We start from the raw sequence: 27990 nt of genomic DNA, 5'->3' as shown, positions 1-27990 counted from the left end.
ATTGTGGTTTTTTTCTGTTACTTTTAATGGCAAAACCACAATTACTTTTGCACCAACCTCTCATGCATGATTTATAAGGGAAAGGAAATTAATGTAATATCAGATTTTTTAATAGCAATGCTTTATTTTACAAGAAAATTGAGTAACATTTTTAATACTCTCAAAAAGAATATATGTGCCAAGAACTTCATATCCAACAAAACTGATCCTTTCTTATAAAAGGCAAGATGGCTGGGCGCAGTGGCTCACGCCTGTAATCCTAGCACTTTGGGAGGCTGAGACAGGTGGATCACCTGAGGTCAGGAGTTCGAGACCAGCCTGGCCAATATGGCAAAACCCTATCTCTACTAAAAATACAAAAATTAGCTGGGTGTGGTCATGCGCGCTTGTAGTCTCAGCTACTTGGGCTGAGGCAGGAGAATCGCTTGAACCTGGGGGGCAGAGGTTGCAGTGAACCAAGATCCCACCACTTCACTCCAGCCTGGGCAAAAGAGAGAGACTCCGTCTCAAAAAAAAAAAAAAAAAAAAAAAAAAAAAGGCAGTGTACTGTTATCAGGATGCAACACGCAAGAATTGAGGGAATATTGGTCCCACAAGCCCTTCCTAAGAAACTTACTAGAGAACAAGCTTCAGACAAGCAAATGACTGCAGATACGTTGACATAAGTACTTGTAGTGAGCATAAAATATGTAGTTATTTATAGTTCTAAAACTAAAGAAGATTGAAGGAGAGAGTATGATATGAAATGGCATGTTCTGACCATGTTACTAGTTTAGTGACAAAAAAATTAGTGGAAACTGAGTATGACATATGCCAAAACATTTCCAGCTGTTTTCAGTAATCATTATTGGTAGCGGTACTGTTAATATTGTCATTATGAAACTGTTATGTATTGTAATATAACATAAAGCAAATTATAGATATTCTATATAATTGTAGGTATTCAAATTTTATCATCCTCTGTGCCCTTGAGCACCAGGATTCTCCATGTGAAAGAAAAGAGAGAGAACTGTTATATAAAAGATATTAAAGAAAAAAATCCCTTAGTCTAGAATTTGAATTTGAAATATTACAAATTCAGAAGGTATTTTATCTTGGGCTGTATTTTATCTTGAGCTGTTATATAAAACATATTAAAGAAAAAATCCCTTAGTCTGGAATTTGAGTTTGAAATATTATTACAAATTCAGAAGGTATTTTATCTTGGGGGTGGGAGAGTGGGAATGGGGAGAGGTTCCTAGATCTATTAATTCTAAAGGTCTAGAAACATTGACCACCCCAGTAGTATTGAGAATCCTTCGGACCAGATTATAGGTTGGAAGTATCATTTCCCATCAAATTAAATCAGTGGCTGATTCCAAGTATGCAGCAGGAAATGACTCTCAAACCTCTTGTTATCCCAACTAGAGCAAAGTTCTCAAAGACTAGTGGAGTTAAGTCAAAGGATCAAGATACCAAGGGCCTAAGGCAGAACAACCTGATCTCTGATATGAATAAGAATTGCAGGAGATTAAAACCTATCAAATATATCTAAATCCTAGAGGTTTTTTTAATTAACAGACTTTATTAGAGTAGTTTTAGATTCACAGAAAAATTGGGCAGAAATTGAGTTCCCAGGTATTTCCTCTTCCCATCCTCTCCTCAGTTTTACCTATTCTTGAAATCTTGCATTGGTGTGGTATATTTTTACAGTTGATGAACCAACATTGATATGTTGTTACTAACTGAAGTCCATAGTTTACATTAGGGTTCACTCTTTGCCTTTTCTAGTTCTGTGGGGTTGACAAATGCATAATGTTGTGTATCTAACATTTTAGTATCATGCAGAACAGTTTTACTATCCCAAAACTTCATTGTGCTCCATATATTCATTCCTCCCCACCCACCCAACCCCTGGAAGCCACTGATTGTTTTTTAAACTTTTAAGTTCAGGGGAACATGGATTTTGTTACATATGTAAACTTGTGTCATGGGGGTTTGTAGTACAAATTATTTCATCACCCAGGTATTAAGCCTAGTACCCATTAGTTTTTTTTCCTGATCCTCTCCTTCCTCCCAACCTCCACACTCCAATAGGCCCCAGTGTGTGTTGTTCCCCTCTGTGTGTCCATGTGTTCTCATTATTTAGCTGCCACTTACAAGTGAGAATATGTGGTATTTGATTTTCTGCTCCTGTGTTAGTTTGCTAAGGTAATGGCCTCCAGCTCCCTCCATATCCCCACAAAGGACATGATCTCGTTCTTTTTTATGGCTGCATGGTATTCCATGGTGTACATGTACCAGATTTTCTTAATTCAATCGTTGGCATTTAGGTTGATTCCATGTCTTTGTTATTGTGAATAGTGCTGCAGTGAACATTTGCATGCATGTGTCTTTCCAATAGACCAATTTATATTCCTTTGAGTGTATATCCAATAGTGGGACTGCTGGGTTGAATGTTATGTCTGTCTTTGGGTCTTTGAGGAATCGCCACACTATCTTTCACAATGGCTGAACTAATTTACACTCCCACCAACAGTATATAGGCATTCCATTTTCTCCACAACCTTGCCAGCCTCTGTTATTTCTTGACTGTTTAATCATAGCCATTCTGACTGGTGTAAGATGGTATCTCATTGTGATTTGATTTGATCAGTGATGAGGAGCTTTCTTTCATATGATTGTTGGCTGCATGTATGTCATCTTTAGAAAAGTGTCTATTATGTCCTTCGCCTACTTTTTAATGGGGTTTTTTTTTTATTATAAATTGATTTAAGTTCCTTATAGATGGATGTTAGACCTTTTCGGTTACATAGTTTGCAAAAATTTTCTCCCATTCTGTAGGTCATCTGCTTACTCTGTTGAGTTTCTTTTGCTGTGCAGAAGCTCTTTAGTTTAATTAGATCCCATTTGTCAGTTTTTGCTTTTGTTGCCATTGCTTTTGGCATCTTTGTCATGAAATCTTTGCCCATGCCTATGCCCTGAATCGTATTGCCTAGGTTGTCTTCCAGAGTTCTTTATAGTTTTTGGTTTTTGGGTATTTGTTTGTTTGTTTGTTTGTTTTTTGAGACAGAGTCTCACTCTGTCGCCCAGGCTGGAGTGCAGTGGCGTGATCTCGGCTCACTGCAAGCTCTGCCTCCCGGGTTCATGCCATTCTCCTGCCTCAGCCTCACAAGTAGCTGGAACTACAGGTGCTCACCACCATGCCCAGCTAATTTTTTGTATTTTTGGTAGAGACGGGGTTTCACCATGTTAGCCAGGATGGTCTTGCTCTCCTGACTTCGTGATCTGCCCACCTCGGCCTCCCAAAGGACTGAGATTACAGGCATGAGCCACTGCACCCAGCCGATAGTTTTCGGTTTTACATTTAAGTCTTTAATCCATCTCGAGTTAATTTTTGCATGTGGTGTAAGGAAGGGGCCCAGTTTCAGTCTTCTGCATATGGCTAGCCAGTTATCCCAGCACCGTTTATTGAATAGGGAGTCTTTTCCCCATTGCTTGTTTTTATCAGGTGTGTCAAAGATTAGATGTTTGTAGGTATGCAGTCTTATTTCTGGGCTTTCTATTCTGTACCATTGGTCTGTGTGTCTGTTTTTGTACCAGCACCATGCTGCTTTGGTTACTGTAGCCCTGTAGTATAGTTTGAAGTTGAGTAGAGTGATGCCTCCAGCTTTTTCCCTTTGCTTAGGATTGCCTGGGCTACTCAGACTCTTTTTTTGATTCCATATGAATTTTAAAATTGTTTTTTGTAGTTCTGTGAAGAATGCCAATGGTAATTTAATGGGAATAGCATTAAATCTATAAATTGCTTTGGGCAATATGGCCATTTTAACGATATTGAGTCTTTCTATCCATAAGCATGGAATATTTTTGCATTTGTTTGTGTCATCTTTGGTTTCTTTAAGCAGTGTTTTGTAGTTCTCCTTGTAGAGATCTTTTACCTCCCTAGTTAGCTGTATTCTTAGGTATTTTATTCTTTTTGTGGCAGTTGTGAATGGGAGTATGTTCCTGATTTGGCTCTTAGCTTGACTGTTGTCGGTGATATTTACACATTGATTTTTGTATCCTGAGACTTCACTGAAGTTATCAGCTCAAGAAGTTTTTGGGCTAAGACTGTGGGGTTTTCTAGATGCAGGATCATGTCATCTGCAAACAGAAATAGTTGTACTTCCACTCTTCGTATTTGAATGCCCTTTACTTCTCTCTCTTGCCTGATTGCCCTGGCCAGGACTTCCAATTCTGTGTTGAATAGGAGTGGTGAAAGAGGACATCCTTGTCTTGTGCCAGTTTTCAAGGGGAATGCTCCCAGCTTTTGCCCATTCAGTATGATGGCTGTGGGTTTGTCATAGATGGCTCTTATTATTTTGGGGTATGTTTCTTCAATACCTAGTTTATTGAGGTTTTTAACATGAATGGATGTTGAACTTTATCAAAAGCCTTTTCTCCATCTATTGAGGTAATCGTAGTTTTTGTCTTTAGTTCTGTTTATGTGATGAATCACATTTATTGATATGCTTACGTTGAGCCAACCTTGCATCCTGGGGATGAGGCCTACTTGATTGTGGTGGATAAGCTTTTTGATGTGCTGCTGGATTCAGTTTGCCAGCATATTCTATGAGGTGATGCTCGCCTCATAGAATGAGTTAAGGAGGAGTCTCTCCTCCTCAATTTTTTGGAATAGTTTCAATAGGAATACCAGCTCTTCTTTGTACATCTGGTAGAATTCAGCTGTGCATCCATCTGGTCCTGGGCTCTTTTTAGTTGGTAGGCTATTTATTACTGCCTCAGTTTCAGAGCTTGTTATTTGTCTGTTCAGGGATTCCATTTTTTTCCTGGTTCAGTTTTGAGAGGGTGTATGTATCCAGGAATTTTTTCATTTCTTCTAGATTTTCTAGTTTATGTAAATAGATGTGTTCATAATATTCTCTACTGCTTGTATTTCTATGGGGTCAGCCACTCATCTTTTTACTGTTTGTATAGTTTTACCATTTCCAGAATATCACACAGTTGAAGTTATATAACATGTACCCTTTTTAGACTGACTTCATTCACTTAGCAATATGCATTTAAGGTTCCCTCATGTCTCTCTGTGTCTTGATAGCTCAGTTCTTTTTATTGCTGAATAATAATCCATTGTATGAATGTGTATCAATTGTTTATGTATTTACCTACTGAAGGATAGCTTAGTTGCTTCTAAGTTTTGGCAGTCATTAATAAAACTTCTGTGAATACTCGTGCAGTCTTTTGTGTAGATATAAGTTTTTAAGTCATTTGAGTAAATGTGTAGGAATGTGATTCTGGATCATATGATGACTATGTTTAGCTTTATAAAGAACTACCAAACTGTCTTCCAATGTGACTTTATTATTTTTCATTCCCACCAGTAATGAATGTGAGCTCCTGTTCCTCCACATACTCACCCGCATTTCTGATGTCAAGTACTTTGGATTTTAGCCATCCTAATAGGTGTATAATGGCATCTTGTTTTAATTTGTAATCCTTCAATGACATGTAGCATTGAACATCTTTTTCTATGATTATTTACAATCTGTATACTGTGTCTTTGATGATGTATCTATTAGATCTTCTGCCCACTTTTTAACTAGATTTTTTGTCTTCGTATTAAGTTGTAAGAGTTCTTTGAATATCCTGGATACAAATACTTTATCAGATATGTGTTTTCCATGTATTTTTCTCCTAGTTTGTGGCTTATCTTTTCGTTCTCTTAACAGTGCTTTTCACAGAGCAGTGTTTTTAACTTTAATGAATTCCAACTTATCAATTTGTTCTTTCATGGAGTGTGTTTTTGATATTGTATATGAAAACTCATTACCAAACTCAGGATCATTTTGAGTTTCTCCTTTGTATTCTCTAGAAGTTTTAAGGTTTTATGATTTACATTTAGGTATATAATCCATCTTGAATTAACTTTTGTGAAAAATATAAAATCATCTAGGTTGATTTTTTTTTTTTTTTTGCATGTGAATATCCAGTTGTTCTAGCACCGTTTGTTGAAATGACTGTTCTTTGTTTGGTTGCCTTTGCTCCTTTATCAAAGGTCAGTTGACTGTATTTGTGTGCTTCTAATTCTGGTCTCCCTTATTCTGTTCCATTGATCTATGTGTCTATTTTTTTCACCAATACCACATTCTCTTGATTAGTGTAACTTTATCATAAGACTAGTAGCCACATAGAGTCAGTCTTCCAACTTTATCCTTCTTATTTAATATTATATTGGCTATTCTGGATCTTTTGCCTCTCCATATAAACTTTAAAATCAGTTTATCAGTATCAATGGAGTAACTAGCTTGGATTTTGATTGAGATTGCATTGATCAAGTCAGGAAGAACTGACATCTTAACATTATTGAGTCTTCCTACCCATGAATATGGAATATCTTTCCATTTATTTAGATCTTTAATTTCATCCATCAGAGTTTTATAGTTTTCCCTCATCTAGAATAATGAGGGTATATACATATTTGTTAGATTTATACTTGAATATTTCTCTTTTTTTTGGTGCTAATTTAAATGATACCATGTTTTTAATTTCAAATTCCAATTTGTCATTGCTAATATATAGGATGGCAGTTGACTTTTATCAAGGTGTGACCTACAGCTTTGCTTTAATTGCTTATTCATTCGAGGAGGCTTTTTGTCACATCTTTGGAACTTCCTACATAGACCATCATATCATCTTCAAACAAGTAAAGCTTTACTTCTTCCTTCCCAATCTATGTATCTTGTATTTCCTTTTCTTATCTTACTGTATATAGGAGTGGTGAGAGAGGACATACTTAACCTTGTCCCCAATCTTGGGGGGAAAGATCTGGTTTTTCATCATTAAATAAGATGTTAGCTACAGTTTCTTATAGATGCTCTTTAATAATTCATGAGTTTTTAGTGATATTTAAGATAAAACTAAAAAACTAACTTGTCACTTTCTAAGCATGACAGGGAACCCATTATGTTGGTAACTGAAAAAATAAAAGGAAAATCTCAAACATTTATGTGGAGCTATACCATTAGGCAATCAAATATATGAAGGGAATGTCTCCTTATAAATTATTTCATCTAACAAATTGAAACAAAATAATAGAATTTGAATATCACAGTTTTGTACCCCTTGAAGAGTGAACCTTTGATGAATTCATGGCTCTAGGTATTGATCATCAGTGACTACTAACCTGAAAAAAAAAAGTGACATTCAGATATTATGCGCCTGCTGATTAAAGAACTCCACCACCTATAGTCTTGCCAAAAGAGGTCAAACCTGAGTCTGATCAAGCCTCCGGATCCAACTTCCAATTTTCAGGAAATGCTGAAGAAAAAGGAACATTTGAACTTCACCATGTATATGCAGGCAGCAAAATTGTAAGGAAAATAGAGGAATGGAGGGGAACTTCACAGATTAAAAGAGATGTAAAAGACATATCCAGACATATTTTTGAAAGGCTTTGTTAAAAGTAGGTAAGACTAACCATGGAGGCACAGTGCTGGAGATACACACTTAGGTGATAAAAGCATAATAAAATGCAAGTAAGTGATGACTATAAATGTCAGAATTGCAGCTACTTTGCAGGGAAGGAGAGGCTATAATTGGGATGAGGAAAAGTATGTCTGGAGCTTCTTAGTAACAAAATTCTGGACCTGAGTGGTGATTTCAAGGATGTTTTCCTTATAACAACTAACTAAGCTATATTTTTGTGTAATTTTCTGTATCTGTGTTTTATTTCATTAAAAATGTTTTTTAACAAAAAAATATATATATGCATATATGCAGCGTGTATGAGGTCAGGACAGGTATCTAATTTTTTTCATTGTTGCCTGTTACACTTAGCATAGCACCTAGACATAAATAGATGCCCAATAAACAGTAGTTAAATGAACAGTCATATAATCCCATCATAATTCAGCTTTTACGCAGAATCAGTAGATTATGTCTCCTCTTAAAACTGCTTACAGTGAAAGCTTAATAAAATAACTTTTATAAGTTTTAATCTTGCCTCCCAGCATATTTATAAAGCAATTTAGCCACAATCTAATTTTCAAGTTCTAAAATAATTTTCCTTCTTTATAAATACACTTCAAAACTTTTAGATACTTCACAGTTCTCTCTGTTGGGTCCAAATTTTATTCCTGATAGCTACAAAAAATAAAATATTTCTCTGGTGCTGAGAATAAACCAGATTGGCTGAGAATAAATGTTCATGATCAAATCAGCATTAAAAAGTAGAATAGTGGGCCGGGCGCGGTGGCTCATGCCTGTAATCCCAGCACTTTGGGAGGCCGAGCCGGGCGGATCACAAGGTCAGGAGATCGAGACCATCCTGGCTAACACGGTGAAACTCCGTCTCTACTAAAAATACAAAAAAATTAGCCAGGCATAGTGGTAGGCGCCTGTCGTCCCAGCTACTAGGGAGGCTGAGGCAGGAGAATGGCATGAACTCGGGAGGCGGAGCTTGCAGTGAGCCGAGATCGCACCACTGCACTCCAGCCTGGGTGACAGAGGGAGACTCCGTCTCAAAAAAAAAAAGTAGAATAGTGGAGAATGTGGCTAATTAATGTATTAAGATATTCCACAGTTACACATTCTTGTATGTTTTAAACAAGGAAGACAGTTGTCCCTTCATTGGACATCCTTGTGCTCAGCCAGACTTTGTGCTGCACAGTATGAGGGGTCCCGACAGAATGAATGAGACAAGGATCTTGCCTAGAAGCAACTTAGGCTGGTTATGTAACAGAATATAGTTTTCAGTGGTTTGACCCAAGTCTCAGTTTCAGCCTCTAGAATTGGTACGTGCTTTCAGGTGGGCCACTCCTGCAGGGCCAGGCCTAGATTACGTCTCATTCTGTGAGAGGGGCACTGACTTAGGTTCACTTCAGGCCTTAGACTTCTAAGCACAGTTAGACCTCCCTAGTTTCACATAATTCTTTTAAATAATATCTAAAGAAACTAATTTGGAGCTTTATAAAGATAAAGCATAATTTGAGAATGACTAAATGCATATAAACTGTATGCTATTTATTAAATCCTTAGTGCAAACCAAAGATATTCAGTAAATTACATATGCATTGGGGCTCTGGTGTTAACATTTGTCTCTCCCTTTCCTAACGAATTGGAAAACTCCAGGTCTGGGTGTTCTGGTCCAATCTAGAGGGTTCTCATCAAACTAATACTATATAAACTGCTAATCATCTTCTTTGTTTTGCGAGGATCTGTCCTTTTACATTTATCCGTATCAGGCTAATTCTGTTCTTACTTGAGGGCAAAACGATAATTGATAAAAACACCAAGTTTCTCTTTGCAGCCATATTTATGTGATCCTAGTACTTGCTATCCCTACTTGGCACAGAATTTTACTGTGCCAGAACTTAAAGCCATTCTCCCTCCCCCATGTAGATTTTGTGAAATTGCCTTTGGCAGTTGTTTAAAAATGGTTGCTCTCTTGACACAGGTGTATGACAATGGATTTTGGTGAACAGTGTGTGTTTTTTTTTAAGTCTTAACCACTGCAAACTGCACAAGAATATAAACTATGTACTTTCTAAGTTATATTATTAAACCTTCCCACATGGCAACCACCTGGAGCTTTTCTGTTTAACTATTTCATAATGTCTTAGCTGTGTACTACACTTGTATTCTATTACTGTCCTTTTTCTATATGTCCTGCACTTATTGTCAAAAGACCCAATTTTATGATGCTTTTCCTATCCTCTGTTTTTTGAGAGGAAACATTTTCAGTGAAAAGACTTACTGACACAAAAATTCACTCACATATTCATGATTTTTTGGAGCAGAAAGCCTTTATCTCAAACCCCCAACCACAGGGTACTTTTGACAGGATGGACAATAAGTTTTTAATGTCTTCTCAAAAGATACTTTGAAAATCTGGTGCTTTCTGTTTGATGTTAAAACGTGCTTCTAGTCATTTGAGTTTAAAATTACAGGGAAAGCTGCTTGGGTAGACCACCCAGGCTGGGTTCAAAGGAGTGATCTTTCTAAGACAGGTACTCCTCAAATAGAGGTTGTCTTTCAAACAAGTTTTACTGAAAGGACAAGTTTTTCCTGACCCTGAGTTTTTCGGTTCCCTCCTCCTTTTTTTTCCTCATCAGAAAGTGGTTTCTTTGTGAAAGTTTCTCAGGAGAGTTTTGTGAGCCTAAGATTATGTAGATATACATTCCACACTTTACCCATAAATGACTTTTCTATATAATGTAAAGCACAGAGGGCATTAGGACATTAGTCCCATACCGTGTGTTGTTTGTTCATGCCTCATGATAACGCACAAAAGATTTGAAACAAGTAGTAGGAATTCCATTGAATAAAACAAACAAAAAAATTAAAAATAAAGGTTATATAAATGTAGTTCAAAACCAAAGGGAAAATAGAATAGAGTTGTAATGTTCCACACATTATTCTTAATTTAATACCCCGAAATATTTTTAAAAGCCTTTAGAGATCTGCAATTTTATATATTGACTCTACTATAAAGCTACAATACACAAAACAATGTGAAATAGACACGATGATAGATAGTTATCAATTAGAGTCTGATAAAGATGGCATTTCAAACCAGTGGAGAAAGGAGGGTTTATTTAATACCTCTTCATGGGAAAAATAAATTCGGGCTCCTGTCTCACACAACACACCAAAATAAATTCTAAATGAATCAGCAGTGAATTAGAAAACCATAAAATTACCATACACAGTGATAATTCAAGGAAAATAAATACAAATGGTTAGAAGGTGATACAAATGAATAATTACCTCATCTCATAGTGAGAGTGAGAAAGAATTTTTAAAGCACAAAAAGAAAAGCAGGAAAAAGAAAACTACAAAAATTGTTAGACTACATAGAATTGTTTAGTCTCAATATATTTTTAAAAACTTTAAAATAACATAAGCAAAATGGAAGATAAAAGTTAAGCTGGAAAAAGATATTAACAATATGTATTAACCATTTGTCATATTTATAATGAGATAATCTTAGTAAGTTATTTTTAAAAGATGAAAACCTCCTCCCCAAATTTTAAAATAGCAAACTAGAACAATTAACAAAAAGATGATGATAAATAGCAACTTTATTTTGAAGAAAAATAAGAAAGTAAATGTCTTTTTCCCTTATGCCTAAATCAAGTTTATATTGTGAATTCAAAGGCAAAGCTCATAAAAGCACCAGAAGTAAACTTAAAAGAATATTTTTATAATATTCAAGTAGAATGGCCTTTCTAAGTCTGACAGGAATCTCAGAGGTCCTAAAGGAAAAGTTTGGCAGATTGTATCAAATAAAAATGTAAAAGTTATTTATGACCAAAAAAAACTAAAAAAAAAAATTAAGATAGCAATAAACTGGAAAAGTTATTTTTAAAATATGACCAAAAGGGTTAACATCTATATTATCAGTAAAGAGCCTTATAAATAAATAAGGAAAACACACCCCAATAGAAAATGAGTAGAAGGCACACCGTGATAATGCAAGAAAATGTAAATAGACATGGCAAATAAACACGGGAAAAAATCTCTAATCATACTGATAATCAAAGAAATGTAACCTTTAAAATACCGGTTTTATTTAGCTGTCAAATTGGTAAATATTTGCTTTAATGAGATTATTTAATGTTGGTGAAAGCATGGAAAAAATATTTTTCTGGGGGTATAAATTGATTACAATTTTTTTTCTGGAGGGCAGTTTAAATTTGATAATATCTATCAAAAGGCTTCATAAAATGTTCATATTCTTTGACTCAAATTATCATTATTGGAAATTTATCCTAGGGAAGAAGGCAGAGTGGTACAGAATGATTTGTTCAGCAGCTGTTGTAAACATGGGTTGTGCTGTTAACCTGCACAGCATCTCAACCATTGTCCTATATATATTTGCAGAATTCTCAGTCATATAAGATGGCTCTCTCACTATAGAACCTGAGAGTGCCAAGTATTTGCTTCCCAGTCTTTAGTGTCTAAGATACAGGAATGTGACCAAGGTTTTACAATCCACCATACCCACACTAGACTTTCACTCTGAAGGCAATGAAGTAAAGAAGCAAAGACATCTCAAACTGTATTCTTTGGAGAGTTTGAGGCAGCTATATCTAGCCTTCAAAGTCACAATGTTAGTTCAGTCTGTCTCATATGGTGCCCAGTGGTTTTTTTTCAGCAGACCAGTTTGGTGTTGTGTTCTTTGGATATTAGTTCTGGAAGTGTAACTTCAACACCTAAGTTTTCCAAATTCTATTATATACGCAAGTAGCCTGTCAATTAATTTCCTTTCTATTTAAATCAACCTGAGCTTCCCCCCCATTAACACCATGGCTTGCAACTAAGAATTCTGACTGTTGTTAAAACAACTTTATAACATTGAAAATTGGACAGAATAGTAAGAGATTAATTGAAGTAAATTTTTATATCCACAGGATGAGAAACTATTTAGCTTTTAAAGACTATGCAGTATTTCTCAGTTTAAGTATTTTACTCAGAGAGGGAACTTAGTATAAGACATTAAGTACTTAGAAAATTCTTGGACGGCTAGGTGTGTTGGCTAACGCCTATAATCCCAACACTTTGGGAGGCCTAGGTGGTAGGAGGGATCACTTGAGGCCAGGAAGTCAAGACCAGCCTGGGCAACATAGTGAGACTCTGTCTCTACAAAAAAAAAAAAAAAAAAAAAAAAAAAATTAGCTGGGTGTTGTGGTGTGTACCTGTAGATCCAGCTACTCTGGAGGCTGAGGTAGAAGCATCACTTGAGCCTAGGAGTTTCAGGCTGCATTGAGCTATGATCATGCCACTGCACTCCAGCCTGGGTGACAGAACAACACCCTGTACCCTGTCTCAAAAAGAAAGAAAGAAAAGAAAGGAAAGGAAGGGAAAGGAAGGAAAAAGAAAATTGTTGTAAGACTTCTAGATTGACTCCTGAAACAATACCAAACAAATTCACAGGGGTGCTGCTCCTTCTGAGGCCAGCACAAGTTAGGAAGTAAATGTGTGGCTAATGCCACACAAACAACTATCTCTTACACCCAAGAAACCACAGAATGTGTACCCGAAGCTACAGACGAGAAATTAGCACAACTTATGCCACTGATTTTTGATGCCCAGGAAGCTGGAAAATGGACCCCAGAATGCTGCTGCAGGAAAGCCTCATGTTTCCAAACCTTGCTAATAACAACCAAGAGCCACAGGAAGATGTCTTTGACTCACATTCAACCTCCAAATCTTGTAGGATACTGTTTGTGTAGGGGAGAATAAAAGGCTTTCCATGCTCGGATTGTCTCTGGAAGGATATGTAAACCAGTAACCATGATGATTTCTAAGATGAGGCTGGGGGACATGAGTAATAGGGAGAAGCTTTTCATAGTGCACTTTTTTTGTTTTGGCATAATTGTACTGTGGTCATCATCACCTATTCAAAAAGTTAGCAAATTAAATTTTACTTGTTTCTTAGCTCATTAGTTTTCACTGTATCACAAAGGAACACACCCCCAGGCCTCTAAGGACGCTTTCAAGGGTCTTTGAAAGGGGAAAGCAGGGTAGGTCGCTGGGTCTCCAACTTCTGCTTCAGCCAGAGCAACTCTGATTTTATCTGTTCTTTGGTTCAAGCTTCTGAGTAAGATTTTATTTGAAGAAAGAATTTCCCTGCTCTTCCTAAAAATTAAAAGCTGATGGGGCATGGTGGCTCACGCCTGTAATCCCAGCACTTTGGGAGGCCAAGGCAGGTTGATCACCTGAGGTCAGGAGTTCCAGACCAGCCTGGCCAACATGGTGATAAAAACACAAAAATTAGCTGGGTGTGGTGGTGTGTGCCTGTAATCCTAGTTACCCGGGAGGCTGAGGCAGGAGAATAGCTTGAACCCAAGAGGCGGAGGTTGCAGTGAGCTGAGATCATGCCACTGCACTCCAGCCTGGGCAACAGAGCAAGACTCCACCTTAAAAAAAAAAATTAAAGGCTAGTGTTATAGAAGAATATTAGATGTCATGGAGAACTGTTCATTATTATATATTAATTAAGATATGGGAAAATGGGATAAAAAATAAATGTAAATTTATTTATAAGAATAGGAAAAAGACTAGAAGTACAAATACCAAATTTTCTCTTGATAGTATTTTAGTATTTCTTTGTGGTTCTCTTTCCCAGATTTATGACAATTATTTTTAAAATTATTTTTATCAGCATAAATGCACATTATTTTTAAATTAAATAGAAAAATACTCTTGAAAATTTAGACATGTTATCAAATAAATGAAGTGGTGCTGGTTGACATCTGTGGAGAATTTGCTAGATAGAACCTCCAACTGATATGTCATAAATGTGTTAGATGTGGGTCAAGGTTTTTTTTTCATTACTCAGGGAAATTGGGTGAGGCTGGAAACAGATGAGTCTCCTTCTGGCTCCCATCAACTTAGTCCTTTCAGCATTTATGTCAGCATACCATGAAAAAATTTGGCAAGCACTGTGCTTTACTAACCTGGAAATAAGCATCTGTAGCATGCTTTAATTTGATTCTGTTTATTAACATATTATTTATACCTTATTCATTAAGAATAATAAGATTAATAACCCAAATAATAGACTAATAGCCATAATAAGGGCTACCATTTATTAAGTACTTAATCATGTGCCAGGCACTGTCCTAAGTACTTTACATCTATTATCTCAGTTCTCATGACAGGCATACAAAGTTTAGATATTCCAGTTTTATAGGTGAAAAAATGGATGCTATTACGTGAAATTAGTAACTAACTTGCTAAAATCTTGAATGGTAGAAGTAGGATTCTAACTAGTATCTTACTCCAATGTCTCTAGTCTTAACCAGTATATTCTACTGTGCCCTTTTTTCAGGAACCTATCAGTTATGTGAAGCAGTATACAGCTATATCAGACAGATGATTACAAGTATAACAAGGTCTCTCTTCACCATCTCTCTCCCACTAGAGCATCAGCTCCATAAGGACAGAGAACTTGCCTATCTTATCCACCTAGCACAACACCTGGAACATCATAGGAAGTTAGATATTTTTTGAATGAACAAATAACTCTGGCTGCACATCAAAATTGCCCATAAAGATTTTGAAACATTCAGATGTCAGGAGCCTACCCCATTTCCCAACTAGTACCACCAAGGGAAGAATTCAGGCAAGCATATATTTTTAAAGATCTGCAGGTACCAGGCATGGTGGCTCACGCCTGTAATCTCAACACTTTGGGAGGCCGAGGTGGGTGGATCACATGAGGCCAGGAATTCGAGACCAGCCTGGCCAACAAGAGGAAACCTGTCTCTACTAAAAACATAAAAATTTGATGGGTGTGGTGGCACACGCGTGTAATCCTTGGGATTACAGCTCCTTGGGAGGCTGAGGTGGGAGAATAGCTTGAACCCAGGAGTCAGAGGTTGCAGTGAGCCGAGATTGTTCTACTTCACTCCAGCCTGGGTGACAGAGTGAGACCCTGTCTCAAAAAATAATAATAATAATAAAGTAAAATAAAACTACAGGTGATCCTAATGCTTAGTCAAGATACAGAACCCCTATCCGAGAGCAGTGGTTCTCTAACTTGAATATGTGGCAGAACTACCTGCAGAACTTGTTAAAATCCCCAGAGCTGCTGTTTACTAGGTCTGGGTTAGAGCTTGAGAATTTGCATTTCTTACAAGTTCCCAATACTGCTGGTCTGTGAATCACATGTTTAAGAACTGTCCTAGAGACTTGGTTGTAAGGGACTAAATCAAAACATTTTTACCTAGAACTTAAGCAGGAGATTTAGTCAGACAGGCCAAAATAAACGTTGGTCACTCAGGCAATGCAGGTTTTAGTCACAGTATTCAAAACATCCAGGAATCTGTCGTGCCCATTGACCTTGTTGCTCTAAAAGTTTCTTTAAACAATTGCATATCATTTTTTTCCAAGCCAAACTATATCTAGCTTTATTAAAGTTACTTTCCATAAACAATCAGGGTATTTCAGGCAGGACATGGGCAGATAATCGTTAACGGTGTACAACAACTTTCAAACTCCCTTCTTCAATGGACTAGCAAAATCGGAAAGCCACTATAAAACCCAGTGAGGTCTTCATTTTATGCCCTGAACAGGGAGAGTTTAGAGTGAGGGTTGACATTTCAACTTTAGCATATTGTTTAACAGCTTTTCATGAACTGACCCTGACTTCCAGGAAATGAAATAAAAATGGCAGAATTTATCTGAAAATCTGAAAATCCACAATCTAGAAATGGAAACTCTACTCTTTTTGGGGGGCTCCATCTCAGTGGCACCACTGGAAAGTCTGATTGCCTGACACACTGGTAACCAATTACTGGAGGGTCAGGGCCCAACAGAGTTTGGGTTTAAGGGAGTTAAGTCTATGTTGAAGATGACAAGGGAAAAGAGGACATAACAACTAATTTGTTATTTCATACCACAAGGGATTTGTGCCAAGGTGGCTACATGTCTCAGAGTCATGGAATCCCTCCTCCTGGGAGTCAAGAAGTCTCTCAAAATGGGAAGGGAAAGGTGTTTTCCCCACATCAATCCAGCATCAGAGACATTCTATTAGTGACCTATGACCCTTCCCCACAATACAACAGTAAAGTGTTCTGTGTGCTAACAACATAGCTTTGAAAAAGTAAAACAAGGCCAGGCATGGTGGTTCACTTTGAGAGGCCAAGGCGGGTGGATCACCTGAGGTCAGGAGCTCGAGACCAGCCTGGCCAACATGTTGAAACCCCGTCTCTACTAAAAATACAAAAATTAGCCGTGCATGGTGGCAGGTTCATGTAATTCCAGCTACTGGTGAAGCTGAGGCAGGAGTAAAAAAAAGTAAAACAAATTTTGCATTTTTATAAAACTTCGTAAAAATAGTATTTCAAACTATACAGTCACCAGAAGTACACAGTCACCAAAAATGCACACGCTTCACTTGGCATCTCCAGCACCTTCAGCTTTCTGTGCCTGGTCTGTTTTGGCATCTTCATTTTCTGCAGGGTTATTCCCCTCCCTGCCAGTGTCAGCATTTTCCTTTTTCTTTTTGGGTACCTCCTCTCTCTCCTTTGCAGGGGACTTTTTAGGGTTGGGCTCTGGCTTTGGAGGAGCAGGTTAAGCAGACAACCTTACGGATCTTTCTGGCTTGTTCTTCACCTTGGCTCTATTGCCTGTAGCATCCCCTTCAGCTTTTTCTTGGGCATGGCAGTGATGCGGCAGGACATATGCTATGGATGCAGGAATGCAGCAGCAGGCAGACTGGTCGGGCTGGGGTCATTCTTGCCCCTTCTTCACATTGTTCAGGCTCTGGGGGCTTTATAGTTTTTTCAGCATATTTTTTTAACCTCCTAGAGAAAAACATTTCTTTGATCAGTTTGACCTTAAACTGTCTGGGCCCACGCAGGCCAGTTTTTACACTCTGGGAAAGATGTCCTCATCTGCTCAGGCACTCATCCATGCCCCGCCTCCAAGCAGTGTGATGTCGACTCCCTAGAACTCCGGGGTCTTATCTTACATGGAGAGCCTCCAGTTTCTCCTTATGGGTGCTCTCTTCTTCCATGATCTTTCTTATCCCGGACCAGGTGATCTGGCAACAGAAGCTTTGATAGAGCCCTTTTCCTTTTTTTTCTGGGTATTATTTCAAGAACCAAGGTTCCTAGATAACATCTAGTCTTAGAGTATTCAGAAACTGTCATAGACTGGTAAAATATGTTTCCATTATCTGCAACTGCAGCTAATAGAAATTAGTAAGAGTTATTAGGTACCAGTGAACACTGGGCTTTGGGTGAAAATTATAAGCTTTTATATCTAGCTGATGGGCCTTGTACCTAATAGTATTTGGCTTGGTTTTTAGAGTGACTTCCATCTCATGCCTGTTGGCTTTCATACCATTCATTTTATGTATTTTTAATTGTTTAAAGAAGAGCTGCTCGGGTTTTATAAATGGTGTTTTTCTCCTTCTTTTAGGTCTCTCTGCAATGCAATCAATGTTTACAACCTCACCTGCAATAACTGTTCAGAAAACTGCAGTGATGTTCTGTTTAGTAACAAGATTACCTTCTTAATGGACCTCCTGATACACCAGTTGACGGTATGTAATATTATTGCTTTGAGTTAGAAGCAGTTAAGGTTTGAGAAATAGTCCCTGTGGAGAAAACTAAAAGAATTCAACTTAGTTACTCTCCAGATGAAAAAAAAAAAAAAGAAGAAGAAGAAGAAGAAAGTGAAGATGACTGTGAGAATAGAGACTGGCAGACAAATTTATTAATAATTTGAAATTTTTGCATTGGATTCTTTTAAGTTCCAATATTTAATGGATAATAGACTTATAACACTTGCTAAGGTTACAGATTTACATAGTTAGACTGGGGCTTTGGAATCAGTTGGATGCAAAGGCAAACCTCTAAAGCCACAGGAATTAGTACTGTAGAAAGGAAGAATGTTAGGAAAGCCTCAAAACCTCTCTTGCCAGGTTAAGTTAAAAGGGTCAGTTTAAGAGGACTTTTTGATGGATATTTAGATTATGTTAGAAAAGAAAACTCCTCTGTTAGAAAGGAGAAAACTTGTTATATTGTTGAAATGGGAACAAGCAGCCAATTTTCACCTTAAATTTTACTTCAGTTCACAGATGTTGAAAGAGGTAAGCTCAATGTAATAGCCAAAGGTTTAAGTATGTCAACTGCAGTCGCCAGGAGTTTCCTGGTGAAGTTTCTAAGCCCCTGAGGTATTGGCACAAAATAGCTCTCAAGCTGCAAGTTTATAACACAAGAGATTTATTTTTCAGAACCAATGTACTTTTACTCAGCACACAGTTCTAGTAACTCTTCCTTAAACTACAAGCTATTGCCTCTATCTGGTTAATTCCTATGCATTTTGCAGTCCTTTACCAAGGCTTAATGTTACCTTCTTCATGAGATCTTCCCCAGCCTGACTCTTTCCCCAGATTCAGGTTAAGTATACTTCTTATGTGATCTTAAGCATCTCTGATAGAATTGATCACACTGAACTGTATTTAACTATTTTCTTGTCAGTTTCCCCCACTAGCCATAAAATCGATGAGGACAGGAAGTAAGTTATCACTATCTCCAAGATTCTAACATAGGACCTGGCACTTAGTAGATTCAGTACGTCATTGTATGTATGTGTGGGTGAATAAATGAATTTTGATACATCACAAGCTGAAAATCAGAAATGGAATTATGAAGCCCTTACAGTCAGACATATTGACATTGAGAGGGAATAGCAATAAGGGAAAGCAAACAAAAATACAGATCTGGAACTGTTGCACAGTACAACAATGGCTTTTTATAGTGATGATAATGAGTCATCAAAGGCTACATTATATATGATTTTGTCTAAAAAAATAAGGCATTAAAATATGAGTAAGATATTTTAGCAAAAAAAAAATTCTATCAGAAATATTTGAAAGGCAGCACAAGGAGAAAAGATAACATTTGTTGTATGGCCCTATATCCCAGGCATTTTAATATATTTGCTTCATTTAATTTTGAAAGCAGCCTCTTAAAGTCAGTATTACTATTCCATTTCACAGATGAGGAAACTTGAGTCCCAGAGAGGTTGACTTGCCCAAGGCTACATAGATATTAAGTCAGAAAGCCAAGAATCAGACCTAGGTGTATCATACCCAAGTTGGGGGACATTCTGCACAATAACTGACTAATATTTTTCAAAAACGTCAATATCATGAAAGACAAGGAAAAAGTGAGGAACTGTCACAGAATGGAGGAGACTAAGGACACATAACAATTAAATGTAATGTATGATCCTGGACCAGAAAAAGGACATCAATGGGAAAACTTGGAAATTCAAGTAAGATCTATAGAATAGTCTGTTTTATTGGCTCAATGTTAATTTCCTCCTTTCAATTATTATACTATGTTTTTGTAAGATGTTAACAGTAAGGGACACTGGGTTAAAGGAATGCTCTATTTTTGCAACATATTTGTTTACTTAAAATTATTTCAAAACAAGAATGAAAAAAAATAACTTCATGCTCTCCTATCATTTCATACTGCATCATCTGGAAGAATTTACTCCATGAAGCTTATTCTATGTTGGTAGTGGAATAAGAGACATTACTTTGAACAGAACAAGTAATGAAAGAGAATGGCATTTGAAATGTGAGGGAATGAACAAGAAGACTTAAAGAAAGAATCTTGGTTCTGCATATGTATAGATGTCATATGTCATAATATAGATGACATATTGTCTCAGTCCAGGCTGCAATTACAAAATACCATAGACTGGATGGCTTATAAACACAGTAATTTATTTCTCACATTCTGTAGTCTGGAAGTTCAAGATCAAAGTACCACCATAGGTTATGGTGAGGGCCCTCTTCCAGGTTTCAAACTGCTGACTTGTCACTTTATCCCCAGATGGTGAAAAGAGTGCAAGCTAATTCTCTGGCCTCTTTTTATAAGGGCACTAATCCCATTCATGAGGATTCCATCCTTATGACCAAATTACCTCCCACAGGCCCCGTCTCCAGATATCACCACATTAAACATTATATTTCAACATGTGAATTTAGGAGGGACACAGCATTCGGACCCTAGTACATACAGTAAATGATATGATAGCAGCCTGTATAGAGTACTATGGGAGCACAGAGAAAGATATTCAGTGATCCTCCCTGAGACATCACAAAAGAGGGACATTTGAGTTAGTTCTCAGCTCCTCATAATAGCTCTCATTTATTAAGTACCAACCATGGGCCTGGAGCTTGTGGGTACCTTGATCATTTTCTTCTTCTTTGAAAGCCTAGTTCCCTTTGAATAATAAAGCCCTAGTTCCCTTTGAATAACCTTCGTTGTAACCTAAGGTTTCTTGACCTCAGAAAAGCTTTTAATCTCTCAATGGATTTGACCACATTCTATGTTTATTCTGCCCATGAATTTTGCTTAGTTTGGAACTGGGATCCTGGGACATTAGTTTGCCAAACACATTTGAACCTTTTTTTTCTTATACATGGCACTTTCTGAGTTTTTTCATTCCTTTTGGGCTCTTTATTTTATCGCTGTCAATTCTTACTGTTGCTGTAACTGGGTTTGTGGCAGTGAGTGAAGGAGGAAGTGTTTCCTGGTTTGGGGTGGTTGGTGATGGTGATTTTTATGTTTCTGAAAATCACTTGAGTGTATTTTCATTTTTCTTGCTAACTGGTTTTGATGTACATGTAACTGAAATATGGACCACTGACTTATTAGTATCCTTTAAATAAGGGATTAAAAAATAGTTGTCAATACATTTTCCAACAAGAATAGAAAAAAGCATAAAAGAAGCTAATTAATTGTGATCTGGTGTTATTTATAAGACAACTGATTATCATCAGGTACTGTTGTCTTTCTGGTTATGTTTAGCAAACCCAGATGGTTTAGGAGACATTTTTCTTCTAGCCACTTGGAGTTTGTTTTGGCACTCTTGTATTTCATTTTAATTACTATTTCCAAAGCATTGTCCAGATGCCTGGGTTACAGAGGTGAACTGGACACAGTTCCATCACTCTAGAAGCACACAGTTAAGGAAGGAAGAAATTGCATATGCAAATATTAATGACTATAGGAAGGGATGAGAAGTTCTATAATGTTATCAGAACTACAACGTAGCTCAGACAACCTAGTAGAGTACCTAGCACATAATAGGTGCTTGTTCAGTATTTGATGAATGAATGAATAAATTCTGACTTGGGGAATTGGGAAGATTTGAGGGAAGAAGTTTAATTCGATCATACCTTGAATACTTTGAACCAAGGAGTTCAAAGCTACAGTGGGCCATGATTGTGCCACTGCACTGCAGTCTCAGCAACAGAGTGAGATCCTGTCTTTAAAAAAAAAAAAAAAAGACACCCCAACTCTCAGCTTCTCCTCTGGGAGGGAGAGAGAAGAGTGGGGCATGTGGACAATATCCCAGCTTTTTGGAAGGCTGCCTGAGAGATTGCTATCTGTCTTGCCTGACTTGGGGCTAGCATACTTTGGATGCTGCTGAGAACAACAAAAACAGGGAGGCTTGCTGCCATAAAACTAGAGAACGTGCAATGTGTATTAGTCTGTTTTCACACTACTATAAAGAACTCCCTGAGACTGGGTAATTTATAAAGAAAGAGGTTTAATTGACTCACAGTTCTGCAGGCTGTACAGTCCTTGAGAAACTTACAATCATGGCAGAAGACAAAGGGGAAGCAGGTACATTTTACATGGCTGGAGAAGGAGGAGGAGAGTGAAGGAGGAGATGCTACACACTTTTAAACAACTGATCTTGTAAAAACTCACTATCACAAGAACAGCAAGGGGGAAATCTGCCTCCATGATCCAGTCACCTCCCACCAGGCCCTTCCTCCAACATTGAAGGTTACAATTCAACATGACATCTGGGCAGGGACGCAAATCCAAACCATATCACAGTGCTAAAGACAGATACCAGAGAAAGGAAGAGATTATGATCACTTGAATAAGAAAGCAGCAAGCATCTCTAGTTGAGAAATTGCATACATTGGCCTAGAGAAGTTGTATCCCCCCCAAAGTTTTCAGAGGCCCCCAGAACCCCTAGCTGAGCTCATTAGTGAGGGTTTTCCATACTACAAAAGCCAGTTCATAAAGACTGGAAGAAGTGGCTTTTTTTGTCAAGTGCACAGATCCCAACAAAGCTTTCGAGACGTAGAAGAAACAGGGAAACATGGCCCAAAGAAAGGAGCAAAATAAATCTTCACAAACCAATCCTAAAGAAACAAAGACATGAATTACCTGACAAAGAATTCAAAATAGCCCTCATAAAGATGCTGTATGAGCTCAAGGTAACAATGCATGAGCAAAATGAGAATATCAACAAAGAGACAGAAAATACAAAAAAAAAAAAAAAAAAAAAAAGAAGAACCAACCAATTTTGGAACTGAAGAATACAATAGCTACACTGAAAAATTCACAATAGGGGTTCAACAGCAGACTCAGTCAAGCAGAAGAGAGAAACAGCAAACTCAAGACAAGTTATTTGACATTATCCACCCAGAGGAACAAAAAGAAAAAGAATGAGAAAGAGTGATGAAAGCCTAAGGGATTTGTGGCATACCATCAAGCCAACCCATTATACACATTATGGAAAGTTCACAAGAAGAAGAGAGAAAGGAATGGGCAGAAAGTTTACTTAAATAGTGACCCAAAACTTCCCAAATCTGGGAAAGAAAATGGACATCCAGATTCAAGAAGACTAAAGGACCCCAAATAAGATCAACATAAACACACACCAAGACACATTATAATAAAATTGTCAAACTCTCAAAGACAGTAAGAGAATTTTGAAAACAAGAAAAAAGTGACTTGTCGTGTACTAGGGAACACACATCAGACTATCAACATATTTCTCAGCAGAAACCCTGTAGGCCAGAAGGGAGTGGAGGGATATATTCAAAGGGCCAATTAACTGATCTTTGACAAGATTGCCAGGAATACACAGCAGAAAAAAGGTAGTCTTCAATAAACTGTGTTGGAAAAACTGGATATCCACATGCAAAAGAATGATATGGGACCCTTATCTTATACCATACACAAAAATAAACTCAAAATTGATTAAACACTTAAATGTAAGACTTGAACTAAAAAAACTCCAAATTAAAACATAGGGGAAAACCTTCATAACATTGATCTTGACTGTGATTTATCAGATATGACACCAAAGCAGGGGCAACAAAAGCCAAAAATAGATAAATGAGATTACATTAAACTAAAAAGCTTCCGCATCAGAGTCACAATCAACAGTGCAGAAAGGCAATGTACAGAATGAAAGAAAATATTTGTAAACCGTATGTCTGATAAAGGGGTGCTGTGGGCTGAATGTTTGTATCCCCAGAATTAGTATGTTGAAACCTAATCACCACTGTGATGGCATTAGGAGGAGGAGCCTTTGAAAGGTGATTCCATCATGAGGACAAAGCCCTCATGAATACTTTCAGAACCCTTATAAAAGATGCCCCAGAGAGCTGCCTTGCCCCTTCTGTCAGGTGAGGTCACAGCTGGAAAGCGCCTTCTATGAACCAGAAAGCACCACTTCTGCCAGCATCTTGATCTCAGGACTTCCTAACTTCCTGAACTGTGAGAAATAAATTTCTGTTTGTTGTTTATAACAGTATTTTGTTATAGCAGCTCAAATGGAATAAGTCAGACGTTAATATCCAAATATATAAAGAACTACAACTCAATAGCAAAAATATATGATAATCAATTAAAAATGAGAAAAGGGCTTAAATAGACATTTCTTCAAAGAAAATACACAGTTGAACAACACGTATATGAAAAGATGACCAAAATCACTAATCACTGTGAAAATGCAAATCAAAACCACAATGAGATATCACCTCATGCCTGTTAGGATGGCTGTTATAAAACAAATCAGAAAATAAGTATTGGTAGGAGTGTGGTGAAATTGGAAATGTTGTGCACTTTTGGTGCAGGCACTAAGGAAAAAAGTATGGAAGTTCCTAAAAAAAATTAAAAAGAGAACTACCATATGATTCATCAATCCTGCTTCTGGGTACGTATTCAAAATAATTAAAATTGGGATCTTGAATAGATATCTGCACTGCCATGTTCACCTCGGCATTATTCACAAGAGCCAAGAGGTGGAAATACCTAAATATTCATCAACAAATGAGTGGATAAAGAAAACGTGGCATATACAATTGACTCTTAAACACTACAAGTTTGAACTGCATAGGTCTATTTATGCATAGTTTTTTTTTCAACCAAACATGGATCAAAAATGCAGTCTCCATGGGATACAAAACCCACACATATGTAGGACTGACTTTTCATATATGCAGCTTCCACAGAGCTGACTGCAGGACTTGAGAATATGCAGATTTGGGTATACACAGGGAGCACTGAACCAATCGCCTGTGTATACTGAGGGACAACTGTACAAACAATGGAATATTAATCAACCTTAAAAAAGAAGGGAATTCTGTCATATGCTATAATGTATAAACCTTGATGATGCTATAAGTGAAATAAGCCAATTACAAAAACAGAAATACTGCATGATTCTACTTAAATGACATATCTAAAAGAATCAGCCTCATAGAAACAAAGTAGAATGGTGGTTGCCAGGGACCAAGGGGAGGGGGAAGCAGAGTTGTTTAATAGGTTTAGCGTTTCAGTCAAGTGAGATGAAAAAGTTCTAGAGACCCATTTTACAACAATGTGCATATAGTTAACAATATTGTAATATGCACCTAAAAATTGATAAAGAAAATTTATATGTCTTTTTACAAAAAAAAAAAAAAAAAAGACCAGTGAAAGTACTACTGAGTGCTGTGAAAATAGATGGATAAGCTTTTAATGTTGGGCAAGATCTAAACAGTCCAATATACTGATGAGCAAATTGAGATGTGGAAAAGGATCACAGAGCTACCTAGTGGCAGAACCATGACCTGGACCCTGGTCTTCTGAGTCCCTGACCAGGACTTCCCTTCCTATAAGCTAAATTGATGTGTCCTCATTTTCTTAAGTTGACAAATGAAACAAAGCAACAATTTTGTGACTTTAATTTTATAAGTTTAATAGTATTACTTTGGTAAGATATACTGAAAAAGCACTTAATTAAAAGATTTATAATTTCTTGATGTTTCATTGCATTTTAAAAGGCATTAAATATTTTATTAGCAGTCTTATTTTTAATTCATAGTGACCTGTTCCTTATGAAATATTTAATGAATATGCTGATAAATTGTGTGTATGTATTTTTGGGAGCCAAGGAGATTGTTAATTGAAAAGTGATGTACTAACCTTAAATAATTGATATGATACTGTTGAATCAGAGAGGCTGCTGGTGAGCTCTTCAGAAGGTGACAAGAAAGCCCTGGATACAAACAAAGGAAATCTAAGTGCAACCTTACAGCAAGGGGATTGTTTTTCACTTAGTCATGTGCAGAGCCATCCAGGTGCCTGTTGATTTTCATTACAGCAGCAAGGCCTGGAACTCTCCATTCACCACATTGTTTCTTTATATTGAGTTGCCAGAACATAGACTCCATAGTTAATTACATGGGAGCAAAAATCCCTCAACACTACAGGTAACAGTACTCTTCCAGTTGCATCTTGTTTCCTTCTTTCCTCACTATATAGTACGGTACTTGCTCAGCATATCTAGGACACGTTGCCTTTTCCTTCAGCAGAAGTGTGAACTCTGTTTATGTCTCCTGTGCCATATGTCTTATTGACACAGAATTTCAAAACTGGAGAGGAGGTCTTCATAGTATGTAGTCTATTTCAGTCCACTCGTTTTATAGATGAGGATAATGGACTTCAAAAGAGGAGAGGGATGGGAGATATGTGGGGTTGGATACTTGCCCAAGTTCTACAGCCTGTTAACACTATAACTGGGATGCAAATTCAGGTCTCCTAAATCCTAAGTTAACTTTCTATTATTTTACTTAACGGACTGCCCATTTTTAAAGTTGGTGAGAACAGTTAAGGGATGTTGTGTGTATAGAGCTTTACTCTCAAAGCTACATTCAGAATTCAGCTGGTAAAAGAACATGGGCCAGATTTTAACTCAGATTGCCTTTCTACTACATTCATATGAAATAGTATCCTCACCACCATTATCACTATCACCTAAAATAATTAAATGACTACTTGAGGGAGAAGCTGACACTTGTACCTTCATCAGTGTAAAAAATATGTCACACTGCTTACAAATACTGATAGATAAAGCAAACAAAATTATTAAAGGTGTAAAAGGTTTCAGTAAAACAATTAACAGTTTAATGCACATAGAATCCTATGTACAACATTAGAGAATATATATTCTCTATAAGCACATATGGAAGATGTATAAGAATTATTCACTAAGCCATAAGCAAGTATTATCAAATTTGAAAGAATCCACATCATAGAAGATGACCCAGTTCTGCTTCAGTTATGGATGAATAAGCTCCTATCGGACTGACCCTCCTGCAGACAACAAATGTAAATGCTGAGTAAAGTATGTGAAAACAAATACCTGAAAAGTACTAAGGACCAATGAAAAGCAGATCCTGATGGGAATAGTCACTTGGAAGAAAGGAACAGCGTTGGGTAAGTTTCCTGGTTGTATGGCTTTCAGCATGAGGGCAGGCTACAGTTGGTGCCACATGGGCTGGCTAGAACTCAATAGAAAATCCACAATCTTTTTATCCTGAAGAACCAGAGGACAGAATTCAGGGCAAAGACAAGTGCTAGAATGTTAGGAGGATATTCAGGAGGAGAAAAGCTACAAAGGGATATCCCCTAAGTATTTACAAATACCTGCATGATTCTGAATATACTGTACATGTATGAGACAACTCCGTATAACTCAGCTAAAGACAAGAAAACTGGGATTTGAGCTGCTATTCACTAGTAGAGTTTTGCAGTTTGAGTCCAACAAAGTCAAATGGCTACTTTAAAAAGAAAATATCAACACCTGTAAGAGAAATATAGCAGAATCCAGATTCTTCATGACATAGCATTCACAGTGTTTGGGATTTCTTGACATAAAGAGAAAGAAGATGTGCATTATTTTCAAGAGTTAAGGCAATTAACAGAGGCCAATCCTGAGATGACACAGATGTTAGAATTAGCAAACAAGGATATTAAAACAACTTTATGACTCAGCTCAATGACAGAAAGAAAAATGTGCTGATAATGAAGGATATGAAATATCACAGAAGTAAAAACATAATAAAGAATCAAACAGAAATTTAAAAACTAGAAAATACAATACCTGAAATAAAAAACTTACTATATGAATTAATAAATGAGAAAGAATGATGAAAAACAGAAAAATCACCATTAGGCAAAAACCAAAGTAATAAATATTGCAGGAGAGAATCATCAGTGGATGCAAAAATTAGTGGACAAATGTAGGATGAGAAAGAGGATATTTGCATAATCTCAAAATAATTTCCCACAAAATAATCTTTTTTGTAAAAAAAAAAAAAAAGTTGGGTAATAGTAACTTCACAGTGAAAACCTTGGTAGACACCACTTTAACCAAGTTATCAAAACTAAC

General features: G+C 37.0%; 1 protein-coding gene across 25 annotated transcripts in view; it reads left to right on the top strand.

Moving 5' to 3' along the window:
• Positions 1 to 27990, top strand: part of SCAPER (S-phase cyclin A associated protein in the ER) — a 557437-nt gene that overhangs the window by 416089 nt on the left and 113358 nt on the right. For 23 of the 25 annotated variants that reach the window (NR_148227.2, XM_017022273.2, XM_011521653.4 and 20 more), the window contains one exon: positions 17917 to 18040. Coding sequence is in view for 23 of the 25 variants with exons in the window: in XM_017022273.2 (XP_016877762.1) it covers positions 17917 to 18040 (124 nt within the window). In the remaining 2 variants the exon portion in view is untranslated. Of the gene's footprint in view, positions 1 to 17916; positions 18041 to 19501; positions 27757 to 27990 lie in introns of those variants that run through there. The other 2 variants (XR_007064448.1, XM_024449940.2) reach the window with 2 other exon arrangements.

Source organism: Homo sapiens, chromosome 15 (assembly GCF_000001405.40).
Source record: "Homo sapiens chromosome 15, GRCh38.p14 Primary Assembly".
In the NCBI taxonomy this organism is placed as follows: Eukaryota; Metazoa; Chordata; class Mammalia; order Primates; family Hominidae; genus Homo; species Homo sapiens.
This window is presented reverse-complemented; position numbering and strand designations above follow the sequence as displayed.